The 20,114-nt window shown below is 52.1% G+C and overlaps 1 protein-coding gene across 5 annotated transcripts in view, besides 6 other annotated features; it reads left to right on the plus strand.

The window, feature by feature from the left end:
- Positions 1–12,711, plus strand: part of ZNF48 (zinc finger protein 48) — a 21,797-nt gene extending 9,086 nt beyond the window's left edge. The window contains exons 1-3 of one of the 5 annotated variants that reach the window (NM_001214909.2): positions 8,023–8,181; positions 8,383–8,476; positions 9,933–12,711. In NM_001214909.2, coding sequence (NP_001201838.1) covers positions 8,398–8,476; positions 9,933–11,710 — 1,857 coding nt within the window. In that variant the 5' untranslated portion in view covers positions 8,023–8,181; positions 8,383–8,397 and the 3' untranslated portion in view covers positions 11,711–12,711. Of the gene's footprint in view, positions 1–8,022; positions 8,477–9,932 lie in introns of those variants that run through there. The other 4 variants (NM_001214906.1, NM_152652.3, NM_001324494.2 and 1 more) reach the window with 4 other exon arrangements.
- Positions 5,943–6,443: an enhancer, noted in NCBI's record as "H3K4me1 hESC enhancer chr16:30404661-30405161 (GRCh37/hg19 assembly coordinates)". NCBI's record gives its function as "activates a minimal SCP1, AML or CMV promoter by ChIP-STARR-seq in naive H9 embryonic stem cells {active_cell/tissue: H9 hESC(naive)}" and the evidence as "EXISTENCE:reporter gene assay evidence [ECO:0000049][PMID:30033119]".
- Positions 7,935–8,124: a silencer, noted in NCBI's record as "silent region_7367". NCBI's record gives its function as "represses an Ori minimal core promoter by ATAC-STARR-seq in GM12878 lymphoblastoid cells {active_cell/tissue: GM12878}" and the evidence as "EXISTENCE:reporter gene assay evidence [ECO:0000049][PMID:35858748]".
- Positions 8,215–8,474: a silencer, noted in NCBI's record as "silent region_7368". NCBI's record gives its function as "represses an Ori minimal core promoter by ATAC-STARR-seq in GM12878 lymphoblastoid cells {active_cell/tissue: GM12878}" and the evidence as "EXISTENCE:reporter gene assay evidence [ECO:0000049][PMID:35858748]".
- Positions 8,445–9,041: an enhancer, noted in NCBI's record as "H3K27ac hESC enhancer chr16:30407163-30407759 (GRCh37/hg19 assembly coordinates)". NCBI's record gives its function as "activates a minimal SCP1, AML or CMV promoter by ChIP-STARR-seq in naive H9 embryonic stem cells {active_cell/tissue: H9 hESC(naive)}" and the evidence as "EXISTENCE:reporter gene assay evidence [ECO:0000049][PMID:30033119]".
- Positions 11,376–11,919: an enhancer, noted in NCBI's record as "H3K27ac-H3K4me1 hESC enhancer chr16:30410094-30410637 (GRCh37/hg19 assembly coordinates)". NCBI's record gives its function as "activates a minimal SCP1, AML or CMV promoter by ChIP-STARR-seq in primed H9 embryonic stem cells {active_cell/tissue: H9 hESC(primed)}" and the evidence as "EXISTENCE:reporter gene assay evidence [ECO:0000049][PMID:30033119]".
- Positions 19,933–20,112: a silencer, noted in NCBI's record as "fragment chr16:30418651-30418830 (GRCh37/hg19 assembly coordinates)". NCBI's record gives its function as "represses an EF-1alpha promoter that drives an FKBP-Casp9 reporter gene in an ReSE screen in both phorbol 12-myristate 13-acetate-treated (for megakaryocytic differentiation) and untreated K562 erythroleukemia cells {active_cell/tissue: K562 | K562(+PMA)}" and the evidence as "EXISTENCE:reporter gene assay evidence [ECO:0000049][PMID:32094911]".

Raw genomic sequence — 20,114 nt, forward strand, 5'->3', positions numbered from 1 at the left:
TACAAAAATTAGCCAGGCATGGTGGCGCATGCCTGTAATCCCAGATATTCGGGAGGCTGAGGCAGGAGAATCACTTGAACCCGGGAGGCAGAGGTTGCAGTGAGTGGAGATCGCACCATCGCACTCCAGCCTGGGGGACAAGAGTGAGACTTCCTCTCCAAAACAAAACAAAACCAAAAAAAGACAGAGTTTTCCTCGTCACCCAGGCTGGAGTACAATGGCGCGATCTCGGCTCACTGCAACCTCTGCCTCCTGGGTTCAAGTGATTCTCCTGCCTCAGCCTCCCGACTAGCTGTGATTACAGATGCCTGCCATCATACCTGACTAATTTTTGTATTTTTAGTAGAGACAGGGTTTCACCATGTTGTCCAGGCTGATCTTGAACTTCTGACCTCAGGTGCTCTGCCCACCTTGGCCTCCCAATCACTATCTTTCTATAACCCAATTTTAGTATTTATCCTTCTCGTACGCCTATATATATGTATACACACTGTTTATATTTATAAAAATAGGGTCACATTATAACTTTGGAAACATGCTTTTGTTGCTTCATGTGTTCTCTACATCTTTTTTTTTTTCTTTTTTGGAGAGGGAGTTTTTCTCTTGTTGCCCAGGCTAGAGTGCAATGGCGCGATCTCGGCTCACCACAACCTCCGCCTCCTGAGTTCAAGCGATTCTCCTACCTCAGCCTCCCAAGTAGCTGGGATTGATTACAGGCATGCACCACCACGCTTGGCTAATTTTTTTTGTATTTTTAGTAGAGATGGGGTTTCTCAGTGTTGGTCAGGCTGGTCTCGAATTCCCAATCTCAGGTGATCCACCCACCTCAGCCTCCCAAAGTGCTAGGATTACAGGTGTGAGCCACCACGCCAGGCCTGTTCTCTACATCTTTCTATGATACATGCACATGTACATTATCTGTTTTTGTTTTAGTTTTTGTGTTTGTTTTAGCTGGGACTACAGGTGTTCACCACCATACCCAGTTAAGCTTTTTGATTTTTAGTAAAGACAAGATCTTGCTATGTTGCCCTGGCTGGTCTTGAACTCCTGAACTCACACAATCCTCCCTTCTTGGTCTCCCAAAGTCCTGGGATTACAGCCACTGCACCCGGCCCAGGAAGTTATATATTTTAAGCATTTGTACATATTAATGCCAGGCCAGGTGCAGTGGCAATAGGGCGAGACCTTGTCTCAAAAAAAACAACCACAGTCCAGGCGCGGTGGCTCACGCCTGTAATCCCAGCACTTTGGGAGATCAACGTGGGTGGATCACCTAAGGTCAGGAGTTCAAGACCAGCCTGGCCAACATGGCGACACCCCATCTCTACTAAAAAAAAAATACAAAAATTAGCCGGGCGTGGTGCCGCACACCAGTAATCTCAGCTACTCAGGAGGCTGAGGCAGGAGAATTGCTTGAACTCAGGATGCAGAGGTTGCAGTGAGCCGAGACTGCGCCACTGCACTCCAGCCTGGGCGACGGAGTAAGACTCTATCTCAAAAGAAAATTAAAAATAAAAATAAATAAAAATAAAAACAAAAACAACAACAAAAAGAAAACAACCCTGCAAAAAAGGCTCTTGTGGCCGGGTGTGGTGGCTCACGCCTGTAATCCCAGCACTTTGGGAAGCTGAGGCAGGCGGATCATGAGATCAGGAGTTCGAGACTAGCCTGGCCAACAAAGTGAAACTCTGTCTCTACTAAAAATACAAAAATTGGCTGGGCACAGTGGCTCATGCCTGTAATTCCAGCACTTTGGGAGGCTGAGGCGGGCGGATCACGAGGTCAGGAGATCGAGATCATCCTGGCTGACACGGTGAAACCCCTCTCTACTAAGAATACAAAAAATTAGCTGGGCGTGGTAGTGGGCCCTGTAGTCCCAGCTACTCGGGAGGCTGAGGCAGGAGAATGGCGTGAACCCGGGAGGTGTAGCTTGCAGTGAGCCGAGATTGTGCTACTGCACTCCAGCCTAGGCAACAGAGCGAGACTCCATCTCAAAAAAAAAAAAAAAATAATAATAATACAAAAATTAGCTGGGCATGGTGGTGCGCGCCTGTAATCCCAGCTACTTGGGAGGCTGAGGCAGAAGAATTGCTTGAACCTGGGAGGCAGAGGTTGTGGTGAGCCGAGATCGTGCCACTGCACTCCAGCCTGGGCAACAGAGTGAGACTCTGTCTCAAAAAAAAAAAAAAAAAGGCTCTTGCTTGGTCATTGTGTTAAATGTAGAGTTTATATGAATTAACAGTGACACCATAGTCCATTTCCATGCTTATTAATTCCAACTAATTATGGCGAATCATTCATATGATATTTGGGGCTTGTTTGCTTTGACAAAGGAAGGCAGTACCTTGAGTTTCATATAGGGCAGTGTGTGGTGGACAGCTCTCTTCCCATTTAGTAATTATTTAGTCATTTGGATTAGTTTTTTTTTTTTTTTTTTTTTTTTTTTTTTTTTTTTTAGAAACAGGGTCTTGTTCTGTTGCCCAGGCTGGAATGTAGTAGTGCGATCATAGGTTATTGCAGTCTTGAACACCTGGGCTCACTTCTGCCTCCCAAGTAGCTGGGACTATAGCTTTGCAACACCATCCCTGGCTAATTCTTTTTTCTTTTTAGAGATGGGGTCACTATGTTGGCCAGGCTGGTCCCAAACTCCTGACCTCAAATGATTCTCCTGCCTTGGCCTCCCAAAGCACTAGGATTCCAGGTGTAAGCCACTATGCCCAGCCCGTATTAGTTCTTCTTCATCTTGCCATCATGTCTTCACAGTTACCTCTTCCCCACCCCTTGCATCCCTTGAGGGACTTCTATATCTTTAGACATTAATTCAAGTTCAGATCTAATAACTATAGGATTTGTCCTCTCAAAGTCAGAGTTAGGCAGCTCTGCAAATGAATATGGCAGGCATGCTGACCATTTATACCCTCTTCTATTTCCCAGCACAAATGCCCAGTACCTGATGGATACCCAGGAAATGTTTGTGGAACAAATGAATAAACTTACATTCTTTTTTATTTTTATTTATTTATTTTTTTTGAGTCGGAGTCTCGCTCTGTCGCCCAGGATGGAGTGCAGTGGTGCGATCTGGGCTCACTGCAACATCCCCTCCCGGGTTCACGTGATTCTCCTGCCTCAGCCTCCCGAGTAGCTGGGGCTACAGGCACCTGCCACCACGCCCAGCTAATTTTTTGTATTTTTAGTAGAGACGGGTTTTTTTTTTTTTTTTTTTTTTTTTTTTTTTTTTTTTTGAGATGGAGTTTTCTCTGTCGCCCAGGCTGGAGTGCAGTGGTGTGATCTCGGCTCACTGCAAGCTCCGCCTCCTGGGTTCATGCCATTATCCTGCCTCAGCCTCCTGAGTAGCTGGGACTACAGGCGCCCGCCATCACGCCTGGCTAATTTTTTTTTTATATTTTTAGTAGAGACGGGGTTTCACCGTGTTAGCCAGGATGCTCTCGATCTCCTGACCTCGTGATCTGCCCACCTCAGCCTCCCAAAGTGCTGGGATTACAGGCGTGAGCCACCGCGCCTGGCCAGAGACAGGGTTTCAATGTGTTAGCCAGGATGGTCTCGATCTCCTGACCTCGTGATCTGCCCACCTTGACCTCCCAAAGTGCTGGGATTAGAGGCGTGAGCCACTGCGCCCGGCCGAATAAACTTACATTCTATCTTCATCTTTCACTGCTTTCCTAATATGTAAACTCACGGCACATTAAAACGGAACTATTCTCTATTTTCCTCTCTGAAGATAGGTCGTAATCCATAGTCATCTTTGGATCTCAAGCTTCTAGCACACATTAGGTTTTCTTTTATTTTTATTTTTTGAGACGGAGTCTCACTCTGTCGCCCAGGCTGGAGTGCAGTGATCTCTGCTCACTGAAACCTCTGCCTCCCGGGTTCAAATGATTCTCCTGCCTCAGCCTCCTGAGTAGCTGGGATTACAGGTGAGCACCACCACCTCCAGCTAATTTTTTTATTTTTAGTAGAGACAGGTTTTCACCATGTTGGTCAGGCTGGTCTCCAACCCCTGACCTCATGATCCGCCCGCCTCAGCCTACCAAAGTGCTGGGATTACAGGCGTGAGCCACTGCTCCTGGCAGTCTTTTTCTTTTCTTTTTTTTTTTTTAAACAGAGTTTTGTTCTGTTGCCCAGAACGGAATGCAGTGGTGTGATCTCAGCTCACTGCAACCTCCGGCTCGCGAGTTCAAGCGATTCTCCTGCCTCCGCCTCCCGAGTAGCTGGGATTACAGGCGCGTACCACCACATCTGGCTAATTTTTGTATTTTTTAGTAGAGATGGGGTTTCACCATGTTGGCCAAACTGGTCTCGAACTCCTGACCTCAGGTGATTCACCTGCCTCAGCCTCCCAAAGTGTGGGGATTATAGGCGTGAGCCACTGATTCCAGCCTAAGGTTTTCTTTCTCTTTCCTTTTCTTTCTCCTTTTTTTTTGGCGGGGGGGTGGGGGTGGGATAGGGTCTTGCTCTGTCACCCAGGCTGGAGTGCAGTGGCATGATCTCAGCTCCCTGCAACTTTCACCTCCCGCGCCCAAGAGATCCTCTCACCTCAGCCTCCCAAGTAGCTGGGACTACAGGTGTGCACCACCACTCCCAGCTAACTTTTTTGTATCTTTTTATTTATTTTATTTTTTCCTGAGGCGGCGTATCGCTCTGTCGCCCAGGCTGGAGCGCAGTGGCGCGATCTCGGCTAACTGGAAGCTCCGCCTCCCAGGTTCACGCCATTCTCCTGCTTCAGCCTCCTGAGTATCTGGGACTACAGGCGCCTGCCACCACGCCCATCTAATTTTTTTGTATTTTTAGTAGAGACGGGGTTTCACTGTGTTAGCCAGGATGGTCTCAATCTTCTGACCTCGTGATCCACCCACATCGGCATCCCAAAGTGCTGGGATTACAGGAGTGAGCCACCGCCCCCGGCCCTGTATCTTTTTAGAGATGGGTTTTCACCATGTTGGCCAGGCTGGTCTCAAACTGCTGGACTCAAGAGACCTGCCCACCTCAGCCTCCCGAGGTGTTGGGATTACAGGCGTGAGCCACCATGCCTGGCCCATATTAGGTTTTCAATTAGTATGTGGCCCACTGTTTATTCAGCCCCCACTGCCTGGAGTTGTTCATTCAGCCCCCACTCCAGGCAGAGTCTGGACTTTGCCGAAATCAAACCAATTAGAGTAATAGCTGATACTTTTGCTAAGTGCTTTACACATATTCATCCTCAACCATCAAAGTTAGCTGTTATCATCCCTATTTTACAGTTTGGGAAACAGAAGCTTAAGTAACTTCCCTAAAGTCAAGTAGCAATTAAGTGACAAAGGCCAAGAACCACACTCTGCATAAATGGCTTTAAAGACAGTATCTGCACCCACTGAACACTACAGAAGGTATCTCTGTGCGCTACACTCCTATAAAATTTTGTCCATACAGTCAATATAGAACCTGTCACACCATCTGACAACTCCATATCCTATTGGGCCAAGAGCTCCCTGAAGAGTTTCTTTATTTCCAGGGCCTAGGACAGTGTTTAGGTATTAGCTAGTGATCAATAGGTATGTGTTGATTTCTGGTCCCTGTTTCTGTCAGTGCTAACATCCATGCATGCCAGGCACACAGAGATTCATTACTACAAACTAGAACCCTTCCTGTTCTCCCACACTATCGTGAATTGGTCCATATAACTCTTTTTTTTTTTTCTTGAGATGAAGTCTCGCTCTTGTCCCCCAGGCTGGAGTGCAATGGCGCGATCTCAGCTCACTGCAACCTCCGCCTCTGGGGTTCAAGTGATTCTCCTGCCTCAGCCTCCCAAGTAGCTGGGATTACAGGCGCCTGCCACCACGCCCTGCTAATTTTTTTATTTTTAGTAGAGATGGGGTTTCACCATGTTGGCCAGGCTGGTCTGGAACTCCTGACCTCAAGTGAGCTCCTGCCTCTGGCTCCCAAAGGGCTGGGATTACAGGTGTGAGGCACCACACCCGGCCTTTTAAATTTTATTTATTTATTTTTTTGAGACGCAGTCTGACTCTGTCACCCAGGCTGGAATGCAGTGGCGTGATCTCGGCTCTTTCCAACCTCCGCCTCTCAGGTTCAAGTGATACTCCTGCCTCAGCCTCCTGAGTAGCTGGGATTACAGGCCCGTGCCACCACGCCCTGCTAAGTTTTGTATTTTTAGTAGAGACAGGGTTTCACCATGTTGGCCAGATTGGTCTCAAACTCCTGACCTCATGTAATTCACCTGCCTCGGCCTCCCAAAGTGTTGGGATTACAGGTGTGAGCCACTGCACCTGGCCGGGTCCATATAACTACCTTAACAGTCTCTCTTTCTTTCTCTTTTTTTTTTAGATGGGGTCTCGCTCTATTACCCAGGCTGAAGGGCAGTGTCACAAATATGGTTTACTGCAGCCTCAACCTCCTGGGCTCAGGTGATCCTCCTGCCTCAGTCTCCAGTGTAGCCAGGACCACAGATATGTGCTACCATGCGCTGCTAAATTTTTGTTTTTTTTTTGTAGAGACAAGGTCCACTTTTTTGCCTAGGCTGGTTTCGAACTAGTGGCCTCAAGTGATCCTCCCACCTTGGCCTCCCAAAGTGCTGGGATTACAGGCATGAGCCACTGGGCCCAGCCCATTCTCTCTCTCTTTTTTTTTTTTTTTAAAGAGACAGGGTCTCGCTCTGTTGCCCAGCATGGAGTACAGTGGCACGATCCACGATCATGGCTCACTGCATCCTTGAATGCCCAGGTTCAGGGAATCCTCTCAGCTGGGATTACAGGGGCAGGCCACCAGGCCCAGCTAAATTCTCTAATTTCAGTGATTTGTGTACTTGCTCCTTTAGACTGGTAGCTCTCCAAGGACAAATCTTGCAGGTGTTTCAACTTTTTATCCCCAACTCTTGGCTTAGCACTAAGATGCTAATAAATGTGAATTAATGCATAAACCACAGTTACCCCCACCATCATTGGCAGAGGGGCTGAAGACACCTCCAGACACTCTCTCCACCCCAAAACCAAGCCCGCCCAGAGAGCGGATACTGGGATCTTGCTCCTAGGGCCTGGGAACCTGGAAACACAGCTCCAGCCAGGGGCCCACCAGGATGGGAAACAGGGCTTGTTCTTCAGCCTCTCCCTGAGCCTGGCCTCTATAGGGCTGCCGACCTGTCCGGAGTCTTTCTGGCCGCCTCTTTCTTTGTGTCTCTTTCTCTTTGTCTCTGCCCGTTTCGCTCACTATCGTCTTTTGTTCCTCTGCTTCTGGGCCTGTTACTCTCCAGGCTCCCAGCCTCTTACTGCTCCTCGGACTCTGCGTCAATGACTTTATCTCTTATCCGTTTCTACGTCTCTGTCTCTAGCGGCTAATCTTTGGCTCCCCTTATTTTTGGTCAGCCGCTGTCCCTCGGTCTCTCTCTGCCTTTGCGTCCTCTGTGACTCAGGGCTCTGATGTGAGTCTCTGGCTCAGGGTCTCTGTTCCGGGCCCCAGGTCTGATTCCATCTCTCCAGCAGCATTTACCCGGTGTCTGCCTCTAGCCTCTGCTCCTGCCTCGGTCTCCCCAGCCCAGCCCCCATTCCATACCCACCCCCACCCCGGGCCCTCGGCCTCTCGGACCAGCCCCGCTTTGTTTCCCACGTCTCGGCGCCCCGCCCCGCCCCGTCTGGGGTCTCCGCCGCCCTTTGTCTGCCTTGGTCTCTCCCCCACCCCTTTCCCCGGGTCCGTCTTTGGATCCCTCTTTCTTTGTCTCTCCCAGGTCGGAGTGGCTGGCGCTGTCGGCCGGCCGGGGAGGTCGGCGCGGGTGGCTGGAGACACACAGCCACAATTACGAAGAGCCTCGGGCCTCACCACCCAGCTGCAGCCCAGGAGGCACACGGTTAATACCACCGAGTTCGGGCCGCCGGCCTCGGCTTAGAGTAGCCCCTGGGCCGCACGCTGCCGCCCGCCGGCCACAGAGCTACCGCCGACGCGGGCGACCCCCACAGGCCCGCAGCTCCTCCAAGGTCCTAGAGCGGCTCCGTGCGGCCCCGCGCTTCCGCTTCCCGTCCCCGCCCCCGGTGGCCGCCCCCGGGACGCCTGGGTCCGAGCCCGCTCCCGGCTTGGCGCGGAGCCTGCATCCCGGAGCCGCTGGCGGCTCGGGCGCCTGCACCCCGCTGAGGAGCTCCGGAGGGCGCCGGGGTGGCGGAGCCGGAGGCGGCCGGCAAGGTGAGAGCGGCGGCTGCGCGCTGGGAGGAGCAGCAGGTGCAGGGGCGGCCGGCGGCGCGGGCAGGGGGCACCGGGAGCCGCGCCCGTACCTGGGACCCGACGCCGCCCGGTGCCCGCGCTGGCCGGCAGAGGGCAGCGGCAGGGCGCCGCGGGCCACACATGGCTGCGTGACCGCGGGATGCTGTCTGTCCCCTTGCTCAGGGCGGCGTGCCGGCGATGGAGCGCGCGGTAGAGCCTTGGGGCCCAGATCTCCACCGCCCGGAGGAGAGGGAGCCACAGAGAGGCGCCCGCACAGGTGAGGGCCTCGGCCGTGCGCCGCCACGGACAGGTAACGGCCGGTGGGGACTGCGATGCTTGGCTGTGGCCGGCCGAGATCCTGGAAGATCGGACGTGAGCTGTGCCTCTGGGGAGATAGGGGGAGGGGAGCTTTCGGAGCACCAACTGTGCGCCAGGCCGGGAGGGGCTCTTCACGGCCTCTGTCCCCTCCCTCACGGCCTTCCTCATCCTTACTGCCTCTGCCCTACTTCAGGCTTCATTCTGTTTTATCCTGGCAATTGCAGTAGCCTCCTCTCTGCCCCTTTCTCTCCACTGATGCATTCTCTCGCCAGCTTGATCTAAGTCCAGATATAATCCTGTGTCTCTTCTGGAAAACCTTCCCTAGCGTCCCCCAGTCTCCTAATTAAAAGCCTTAGCTAGTGTCCAATCCAAACCGTGCGTGCTCAGGTTAGTCCCAACATCCTTTGACACCTTATCTTCCATTCCACTCCATTATTTTCTCTTCGCTCTGCCGTAATGCCGGTTCCTATTTCCTTATCTCCTATCTCTCTTGTGACAACATAGTTATTCTAGTTATTCTGCACCCACAATTATAACCATTGATACTTTAATCTTATCTCTCCTACCACCCTAAGCTTCTTGAGGAAGGGATGTGTGCCTGGGTCCTCTCAGGTACACACAGGATAACTGATGTAATAAATTACCGAATGGGCTAATATAATAAGATACAATAATAATAGCAAATACCAAGTTTTCCAAATAGACAATATAATGTAGGGATTAACACGGGCTTGAGTGTCAGAGAGACCTTAGTTAGACATCACGCTTTGCTACTTTTTTTTTTTTTTTTTTTTTTTGGCGACAGGGTCTCACTGTGTCACCCAGGCTAGAGTGGCACAATCACAGCTCACTGCAGCCTCCACCTCCTGGGCTCAAGTGATCCTCCTACCTCAGCCTCCCAGTAGCTGGGACTACAGGTGTGCACCACCATGCCCAGCTAATTTTTGTATTTTTTTTTGTAGAGTTAGGGTCTCACCATGTTGCCCAGGCTGGTTTCTAACTCCTGGGCTTAAGTGATCCACCCACCTCGGCCTCCCAAAGTGCTAGGATTACAGGTGTGAGCCACCCTGCTGGCCTGGCTTTGCTACTTTCTAACCTTTATAACCTCCAGCAAAAGGACTTAAATTCTCTGAGTCTTTCCATGCCTGTAATATGGGGATAGTCATAGTGTTATAGTATTGTTTGCAAGCGTTTAATACTAATGCTGAGTTTGGTGAATGACATACATTAAGGGCACAGTAAAAAGAAGTTTTTATTGAGAGGCACAGATAGTAAGTGCACCAGAGGTTGAGAGGACAGAGAGATTGGGGTTCCTGTGACCACAGATTGTCAAGGGAGTCTTCCTGGAGAGGTTGCTGTCAAAGATAAGTACCGAGCCAAAGGGGAGGGTCTACAACTTCCTTTTCTTTCCTCAGGTCTAGGGAGTGAGAACGTGATTTCTCAGCCGAATGAGTTTGAACATACCCCACAGGAAGATGACTTGGGGTTCAAGGAAGAAGATTTGGCTCCAGATCATGAAGTAGGAAATGCCTCTCTCAAACCTGAAGGCATCCAGAACTGGGATGACTTATGGGTCCAGAGAGAGGGTCTAGGAAAGCCTCAGCCTCGGGACAGAGGCCCCCGGCTCCTGGGTGAACCACGCTGGGGCCAGGCTAGTAGTGATCGGGCCGCTGTGTGTGGTGAGTGTGGCAAAAGCTTCAGGCAGATGTCAGATCTGGTGAAACACCAGCGGACCCACACAGGGGAGAAACCCTACAAGTGTGGGGTCTGTGGCAAGGGCTTTGGGGATAGCTCTGCCCGGATCAAACACCAGCGGACTCATAGTGGGGAGAAGCCCTATAGAGCCCGGCCACCAGCCCAGGGTCCCCCAAAGATTCCTCGGTCCCGGATCCCTGCTGGTGAGCGCCCCACTATCTGTGGTGAATGTGGCAAGAGCTTCCGGCAGAGTTCTGACCTGGTGAAACACCAGCGGACACACACTGGTGAGAAGCCCTACAAGTGTGGCATATGTGGCAAGGGCTTTGGCGACAGTTCCGCCCGCATCAAGCACCAGCGGACACACCGGGGGGAGCAGCCCCCCCGACCAGTGGTGCCCCGACGGCAGCCATCTCGGGCAGCCACGGCAGCTACCCAGGGACCGAAGGCCCAGGACAAGCCATATATCTGCACTGATTGCGGCAAGAGGTTTGTGCTCAGCTGCAGCCTCCTGAGTCACCAGCGTAGTCACTTGGGGCCCAAGCCCTTTGGCTGTGATGTGTGTGGAAAGGAGTTTGCCCGGGGATCCGACCTGGTGAAGCACCTGCGGGTGCACACGGGTGAGAAGCCCTACCTCTGCCCAGAGTGCGGCAAAGGTTTCGCGGACAGCTCCGCCCGAGTCAAACACCTCCGCACCCACAGTGGCGAGAGGCCCCATGCCTGCCCGGAATGCGACCGTACCTTCAGCCTCAGCTCCACCCTTCTTCGCCACCGCCTCACTCACATGGAGCCCCAGGACTTCAGCTTCCCAGGCTATCCCCTACCCGCTCTGATCCCCAGCCCACCCCCACCTCCTCTGGGCACCAGCCCCCCGCTGACACCTCGAAGTCCCTCACACTCGGGTGAGCCTTTTGGCCTGCCTGGCTTGGAGCCAGAGCCTGGGGGCCCACAGGCTGGGGAGCCACCCCCACCACTGGCGGGCGACAAGCCCCACAAGTGCCCTGAGTGTGGCAAGGGCTTCCGCCGAAGCTCTGACCTGGTGAAACACCATCGTGTGCACACAGGGGAGAAACCCTACCTCTGTCCTGAATGCGGCAAGGGTTTTGCTGACAGCTCAGCCCGAGTCAAGCACCTCCGCACCCACCGTGGTGAACGGGCCCGGCCACCACCACCATCCACTCTGCTGCGGCCACATAACCCACCTGGCCCAGTACCCATGGCCCCTCGACCCCGAGTTCGGGCCCAGCCTTCTGGACCCAGCCAGCCCCACGTGTGTGGCTTCTGTGGGAAGGAGTTCCCCCGGAGCTCAGATCTGGTCAAACACAGGCGTACACACACGGGGGAGAAGCCATACAAGTGTGCAGAGTGTGGCAAGGGTTTTGGTGACAGTTCTGCCCGCATCAAGCACCAGCGTGGGCACCTGGTCCTGACGCCCTTTGGGATAGGGGATGGTAGGGCAAGGCCCCTCAAGCAGGAGGCAGCAACAGGACTGGAATGACGCGGTCCAGGGAGGGCGGAGGCCCAGGAGACCAAAGGGAGGGGCTCTGCCGCTTAGCAGAGAAGAAAGGGCCTGGGAGGTGGTGGGAGGGAGAAGGAAGGGAAGAAAGGGGAGGAAGAATAGATAGAAATAGGGATTGGAGACAGTAACCTTGAAGCTCAGGAAACTGTCCTGGCTGGGCTGAGTCAGGACCTTGCCAGGACGGGCTGTACCCCTGGCTTCTAGAAGACTGCCTAGCACACAGTAGGCATTCAATACTTGTTGAATAAATAAACTGGCTTTCACCTAAGGACTCAACCCTAAATTCCTGCTGCCTCATCTGTTAAGAACTGACACTTTCCCCTTGCTGGGCAGGTAGTACACACCTGTAATCCCAGCAGTTTGGGAGGCTGAGGTGGGAGAATCACTTGAGCCCAAAAGTTTGAGGCTGCAGTGAGCTGATTGCACCACTGATGCCTCCCAACCTTGCTCTGGGAGACCAATGCCTGAACCAGGGTTTGTTTACCTTCTGAGCTGCAGAGATGGGGCTTCTGGAATTTAAGGTAACAGGATGAGGCAGGGGTATCTTGATCATCCGGATGGGGCAAATACTGCTGTGTGGCATGGTGGTACCCACCCCTATGGAGGGGCACTCTTGGACAGAGCCCAGACCTTTGTGCCCTGGAGGGAGCCAACCCACCCTGACACGGAGACACTGGCAGAATAGACCAGAGACAGAAGGTGCTCTCATGGTATCCAGCCTGGATGCCAAGCCCAAGTCCTGGTGGATAGCAGAGGCCAGCTGTTTGGGAAAAGGGCAGGATGCTCTGAGGCCTGGCAGCCACATTTCCATGTGTCTTTTTACCAATAAACGGCTTCTCTTCTGAGGCTTGGACAGTGTGTGTGTACACACAGGCATGAAAAAGGTGGAGAGGGGTCTCTGCGCGCAAAACTCAGACTGTAAATTTTGTGTGCTTCCCTTGCTCTCTGAGCCCATTAAATAAAGAGGTTGTCTTGGCGTAGTCAGCGGCTTTCTAGCTCCGACGTCTGGTTCAAAAACGGCCGCCAGCTCCATCAGCCGATGCCCCAGGCCTGAGGTCTGGCTGCCCGCAGGCACCACCTACGCCACAGCATCCAGCGCGACCCTTAAAAGGAAAACCGCGCGGCGCTGCAGAGACAAGGCAGCAAGGAGGAGGAAGAGGGGGCGTGTGGGGGGCGTTGTTGCTATGGCGACGGCTGTCGGCGGGAGGCAGCCCACAGGTCTGGAACCGGCGTGGAAAGCCCGGACGCCGGCGCGCCGCCCACCGGGACCTGGGAAACCCGACACCCGAGACCCTTTTTATGCGTCGGGAAATGAGTCATTCGGCTGCACAGCCCAAAGGGAGGGCAAACGGTGCTCCTTCACCCCCAGAAAAGCCCGCCGGATTTCCCGGCGCCCCGCGGGGCCTGGGAAGCAGGTCTGCAATCCCTAGCGTTTTCACAACCACTGGCCTGATCGGCCAGGGATTAAAGAAAAAAGAAGTCCAGGGCGGTTCTCCCCGCTAAACAATGAAGGCAACGAAGTACAGGGTCGCAAGTTCCCGCCCCCGGCTCTCCCCGATCTCCGTGCGGAAAGAATCCCTGGACGGGTTCTCGCGAGATCGTAAGCACTGGCCTGGCTTCCCTAGAAACCGACCAGGGCTGGCTGCAGTGCGGCTCCTCCCGCTCCGCCCGCCCTTTCCAAATTGATGCGCTCTCAAAACCCTAGAACCCTGCGTTCAGGGCTGGGGCTCTTGATGGCCTGAGCGGAGCCCTTTGGGGCTTCTGGAAGTTCCTTCTTGCTGGTTTTCCTAGCTCCCTTCCCTACCAGTGTGCCCTCCAAGACGACCTGCAGTGAACTTTCTTTTCTTTTTTTTTGAGACGGAGTCTCGCTCTGTCGCCCAGGCTGGAGTGCAGTGGCGCGATCTTGGCTCACTGCAACCTCCGCCTCCCGGGTTCAAGCGATTCTCCTGCCTCAGCCTCCTGAGTAGCTGGGATTACAGGCGCGCTACCAAGCCCGGCTAATTTTTGTATTTTTAGTAGAGACGGAGTTTCACCATGTTTGTCAGGCTGGTCTCGAACTCCGGACTTCGTGATCCGCCCGCCTCAGCCTTCCAAAGTGCTGGGATTACAGGCGTGAGCCACCGCGCCTGGCCACTTTCTTTTCTTGATTTCTTTCTTTTTCTTTTTTCTTTTTTTCTCAAGACAGGGTCTCACTCACTCTGTCGCCCAGGCTGGAGTGCAGTGGCAGGATCTTCGGCTCACTGCAGCCTCCGCTCGGGTTCAAGCGATTCTCCTGCCTCAGCCTCCCTAGTAGCTGGGATTACAGGCGTCCGCCACCGCGCCTGGCTAATTTTTTTATTTTTAGTAGAGACGGGGTTTCACCATGTTGGCCAGGCTGGTCTCAAACTCCTGACCTTAGGTGATCTGCCCGCCTCGGCCTCCCAAAGTGCTAGGATTTATAGGCATGAGCCACCGTGCCTGGCCTGCTTTCTAAAATTACATCTGGCCATGTCACTCCCCCATTGAAACCCCAGTGGATCTCCACATGCTGTCCCCAAAGCCTAACTTTCATTGGCACTCAAGCCCTTCCATTTGTGTAGTTTCAGCCCTGGGCTCCTTAAATGTCGTTTCTTTTACTTGGAATGCTCCTCCACCACTACCCACCCCTTGTTAATCTCCTCTGTCAAAACACCTCAAGCACTACTTCCTCCAAGAAGCCTACTCTGACCCTCGTCTGGGTTAGTTACAATCCCCTTCTCTGAGCAACCCGTCTCTGAGCACCTAACACATGAAGAGCTTCTTGAGGATAGTTACTCACTCAACAGCTGCACCTATTGTGTGCTGCATACTGGGATAGAAAGATAAACAAGACAAAGTCCCTGACCTGTTTTTATGCGGGAGATAGACATTGAACAAATAATTACAAGTGAGGTGAGAAATGTCCAGCAAACCTATGAGCTGGAAAGAATCCTCTGTGATCCAAAGGCCTTTCCAGGCCAGGTGTGGCTCAGGCCTGTCATCCCAGCATTTTGAGAGGTTGAGGCAGGAGGCCAGGAGGCCAGGAGTTCGAGACCAGCCTGGGCAACATAGTGAGACCTCTCTACAAAAAATACAAAAATTAGGTGGAATGCACCTGTAGTCCCAGCAACTCAGGAGGCTGAGGTGGGAGGATCGCTTGGCCCCAGGAAGTTGAGGCTGCAGTGAGCCATGATCATGCCACTGCACTCCATCCTGGGCAAAAGAGCAAGATCTTGTCTCCAAAAAACAAAAACGACCCCCGCCACCACCAGAAAATACTGTAATCCCAGCTACTCGGGAGGCTTGAGGCAGGAGGATCGCTTGTGCCTGGGAAGTCAAGGTTGCGGTGAGCTGTGACTGCACACTGCACTCCAGCCTGGGGGACGGAGTGAGACCCTGTCTCAAAATATATATATATATTTCCACAAACTACTGCCTCCTTGCCAATCTGGCAAAGTCCCACTCATCTTTAGTTTTTGTTTGCTTGTTTTTTTTACAGATGAGCTCTCACTATATTGCCCAGGCTGGAATACAGTAGCTATTCACAGGCACATAGTGCACTATAGCCTTGAACCCCTGGGCTCCAGCAGTCCTCCTGCCTCAGCCTCCTAAGTAGCTGGGACCATAGGTGTGCGTCACCACACCTGACACCCACTCATCTTTCAAGGTCCTTCACAGTTACCTTCTCAGTGAGACCAGCACGAAATACCTAATACCCCCGAAAGAGTGGTTCACTTACCCCACTCTTCTCCTGCTAGAACACCCTGTTATCCTTTTCTTATATCACTCATACTGTATATTTAGAGATCTATTTTAAATCAGAAGCTTCTTTTTTTTTTTTTTTTGAGACAGAGTCTCACTTTGTCACCCAGGCTGGAGTGCAGCATGCAATATCGGCTCACTGCAGCCTCAACCTCCCAGGTTCAAGTGCTCCTCCTGCCTCAGCCGCACAAGTATCTGGGACTACAGGCACGTGCACTATTATGCTCAGCTAATTTTCTTTTTTTTGGTGATTTTTGTACAGACGGGGTTTCACCACGTTTCCCAGGCTTGTCTCCAACTCCTGAGCTCAAGCAATCCACCTGCCTCAACCTCCCAAGGTGCTAGGATTACAGGTGAGAGCCACCACGCCCAGCCCACAAGCTGCTGCTGCTGCTGCTTCTTCTTCTTCTTCTTCTTCTTCTTCTTCTTCTTCTTCTTCTTCTTCTCCTTTTCTTCTTCTTCCTCTTCCTATTCCTCTTCTTCTTCTTCTTCCTCCTTCTCCGTCTTCTTTTTTTTTTAAGACAGGGTCTTGCTCTGTTGCCCAGGCTGGAGTGCAGTGGCACGATCTCAGCTTACTGCAACCTCCACCTCCTGGGTTCAAGCGATTCTCATGCTTTAGCCTCCCAAATAGCTGGGATTACAGGCGTGTGCCACCATGCCCAGCTAATTTTTGTATTTTTAGTAAAGACAGGGTTTCGCCATGTTGGCCAGACTGGTCTTGAACTCCTGACCTCAAGCGACTACCCACTTTGGACTCCCAAAGTGTTGGTATTACAGGTATGGGCCATTGCTCCTGGCCCCAAAAACTTATTTTTTTTTTTTTTTGAGACAGAGTTTAAGCAATTCTCCTGCCTCAGCCTCCCAAGTAGCTGGGACTATAGACATGCGCTACCACACTAGGCTAATTTTTGTATTTTTAGTAGAGATGGGGTGTTGGCCAGGCTGGTCTCGAACTCCTGACCTCAGGTGATCCACCTGCCTCAGCCTCCCAAAGTGCTGCGATTATAGGTGTGACCACCGCGCATGGCCCAAAAACTTCTTTACTAGACTATGAGATCCTCAAGAACATGAACTAGATCGTATTGCAAGTAGATACCTGTACATGGTTGCAGGGCAAATCGATGGAGCCCTTTACCTTCTTTTTCCAAGTTCCTATTTAAAACAGCAGGAGGCTCCTTCCAGTAGGGACTTTCACTGCCAGAGACAGGCTCCTGGCTGAGTCTCCTCACTGATTCTCTCTTAATCAGAGCGAGATGCTTTGCTTTCGCTAGAGGTTGGGTTCTGGCCAAGTTTACCCTCTGCCTACCTCTCCTCCATCTCCCTTGCTACATTTCCCCTTGTTCACTCCCTTGGATGCTCAGATCCAGCAACACAAGTCTTCTTCCTATTCCTCAAACACACAAGCTTCTGCCTCAAGGCCTCTGCAGTTCAGTCTCAAACACTCTTCTTCCAGATTTTCAAATGGCTAACCCTTTCTCATCATTCAAGGTTCATCTCAAATATTGTATCCAGGCCGGGCGCGGTGGCTCACGCCTATAATCTCAGCAGTTTGGGAGGCCGAAGCAGGTGGATCACTTGAGGTCAGGAGTTCGAGACCAGCCTGGCTCACATAGTGAAACCCCCTTCTCTACTGAAAATACAAAAAATTAGCCAGGCATGGTGGCAGGCACCTGTAATCATAGCTACTCGGGAGGCTGAGGCAGGAGAATTGAACCCGGGAGGCAGAGGTTGCAGTGAGCCAAGATTGCGCCACTGTCCACCAGCCAGGGCGACAGCTGGAGACTCTGTCTCAAACAAACAAACAAAATATTGTATCCAGGCTGGGCATGGTGGCTCATTCCTGTAATCCCAGCACTTTGGGAGGCCAAGGCAGGCAGATCACTTGAGGTCAGGAGTTCAAGACCAGCCTGGCTAACACGGTGAAACCCTGTCTCTACTAAAAATACAAAAAAAATTAGCTGGGCGTGGTGGTGGGCGCCTATAGTCCCAGCTACTTGGGAGGCTGAGGCAGGAGAATGGTGTGAACCTGGGAGGCAGAGCTTGCGGTGAGCCGAGATCGCACCACTGCACTCCAGCCTGGGAGACGGAGCAAGACTCCGCCTCAAAAAAAAAAAAAAATTAGCTGAGTGTATGGCGCGCACCTGTAATCTCAGCTACTCGGGAGGCTGAGGCAGGAGAATCCCTTGAACCCGGGAGGTGGAGGTTGCAGTGAGCTGAGATCATGCCACTGCACTCCAGCCTGGGTGATAGAATGAGACTCCATCTCAAAAAAAAAAAAAAAATTGTATCCTGAGACACCTTCCCTGCCTGCATTAAAGAAGCCCCTGTTACCATAGCTGCTCCCTGTTGGATCATCTTGTCAGATTTGCCCCGTTGCACCTATCATTATCTGATATTATCTTCCTCTTTACATGTGTACATTTGTTTGCACCCTTAGTAGTGTCACAAGAGCCACTATTTTTATCTGTTTTGTTCACTACTACATCCCCCATACCTAGAAGGGTGACGGGTATATAGGACTCAATAAATACCCAGAGAGGCCAGGCGTGGTGGCTCAAGCCTGTAATTCCAGCACTTTGGGAGGCCAAGGTGGGTGGATCACGAGGTCAGGGGTTTGAGACCAGCCTGGCCAAGATGGTGAAACCCCGTCTCTACAAAAAATACAAAAATAGCCCGGTGTGGTGGTGTGTGCCTGTAATCCTAGCTACTTGGGAGGCTGAGGCAGGAGAATCACTTGAACCTGGGAAGCGGAGGTTGCAGTGAGCCTAGACTGTGCTATTGCACTCCAACCTGGGCGACAGAGCAAGACTCCATCTCAAAAAAAAAAAAAAAAAAAAAAAAAAACTCAGAGAATGAATGCAAAGTGGCTTTTGGGGATCCTGTGTGTGAGTATCCAGGCATTTGACCCCTTCTCCCAGCTCTGGGAAAGAGCCAGTTTTATAACTTCATTCCTGAGAGGTAATTTGGTGCAATAGAAGAGCACAAGCTTTGAATCTGCTGCTTGCCAGCTGTGTGACTTTGAGCAAATTACTTAACTTGTCTAAGCTTCCGTTTCTTCTTTTGTCCAATGGAGATATTATTGATCCCAACAGGGCTGTTGTAAAGAGACAACATAGAACTTGTAAGCACTTACTGAATGTTATTTCTGTTTTCCTTCATGATTTCTGAATCTTAGTTGCCCCATTCATAAAATGGGAAAATTAGATATCTGCTTTTTCAAGGGAAGTGGCTGTTTTTCAAAGGAAGTGGCATTTGTTTATTCCACTAAAAAAAAATCTATTTTTATATGAAATATCCCAATTTAATTTTTTTTTTCTTGAGACGGAGTTTCGCTCTTGTTGCCTAGGCTGGAGACCAATGGCATGATCTCGGCTCACTGCAACCACTGCCTCCCCAGTTCAAGCAATTCTCGTGCCTCAGCCTCTCGAGTAGCTGGGATTACAGGCATGCACCACCAAGCTTGGCTAATTTTTGTATTTTTAGTAGAGACGGGGTTTCACCATGTTGGTTAGGCTGGTCTCGAAATCCTGACCTCAAGTGATCCACCGGCCTCCGCCTCCCAAAGTGCTGGGATTACAGGCATGAGCCACCGCGCCCGGCTTTGAAACGATTTTTTTTTTTTTTTTTTTTTTTTTTTTTTGAGACGGAGTCTCGCTCTGTCGCCCAGGCTGGAGCGCAGTGGCGCGATCTCGGCTAACTGCAAGCTCGCCTCCCGGGTTCACGCCATTCTCCTGTCTCAGCCTCCCGAGTAGCTGGCACTACAGGTGCCCGCCACCACGCCCAGCTAATTTTTTGTATTTTGTTTAGTAGAGTCGGGGTTTCACCGTGTTAGCCAGGATGGTCTCTATCTCCTGACCTCGTGATCCGCCCGCCTCGGCCTCCTAAAGTGCTGGGATTACAGGCGTGAGCCGCCGTGCCCGTCCGAAAAGATTTTTTAAAAGTAAAAATACCCTAAGGGCCAAACAAGGTACCCCTGTGGACTGGATTTAGCTTTGGGCTGTTGTTCACCTAGGCTACTGATTGTCAGGGATGCTATGACATCCTTATCGTGTAACTTAGGCAAATCAGTTTACCTCCCTGAACTTCAGTGAGCTCATCTGTAAAATGGATCAGGACCCATCGTTATGCGGATCAAATGAGACCAGGTATGTAAGACGCTGAACAGCGCTGGCGCATGGTAAGCACCCCACGCATGACGCGACAGCGGTAGCTTGGGTGGATGTTGAATTGGTTAGGATGTATTCAAGGATATCCCAGAGGCCAGCGGAATAGGCGAAGCCGAGAAAGATGGAGAAAAGACGGCAGAGGAGATAAAGAGGGAATGGAAGAAGTGAGGAGGCAACAGGGTCCGCCCTCCAGGCGGGGCGCCAGGGAGAGGCCCAGGCCGGGGCGGGAGCGCACGTGGCCTATTTCGGGCGGAGCAGAGGCACTGGGCGCAGCGGAGACCTCCAAGCCGGCCCCAGGAGACGGGCCGCGAGGTTAGGTTGGAACTCGGCGGCAAGGACCTTGAACGCCGGGCTGGGGCGGCTCCAGGTGCTTGGGAGTCGGGGGACTGCGGAGGACGCCAAGTCTGAGCTCGCCGCCCTCTCCGAGCCGTTTGGGCCGGACGCCTGGGTCCTTCGGG

Source organism: Homo sapiens, chromosome 16 (genome assembly GCF_000001405.40).
Source record: "Homo sapiens chromosome 16, GRCh38.p14 Primary Assembly".
Lineage (NCBI taxonomy): Eukaryota > Metazoa > Chordata > Mammalia > Primates > Hominidae > Homo > Homo sapiens.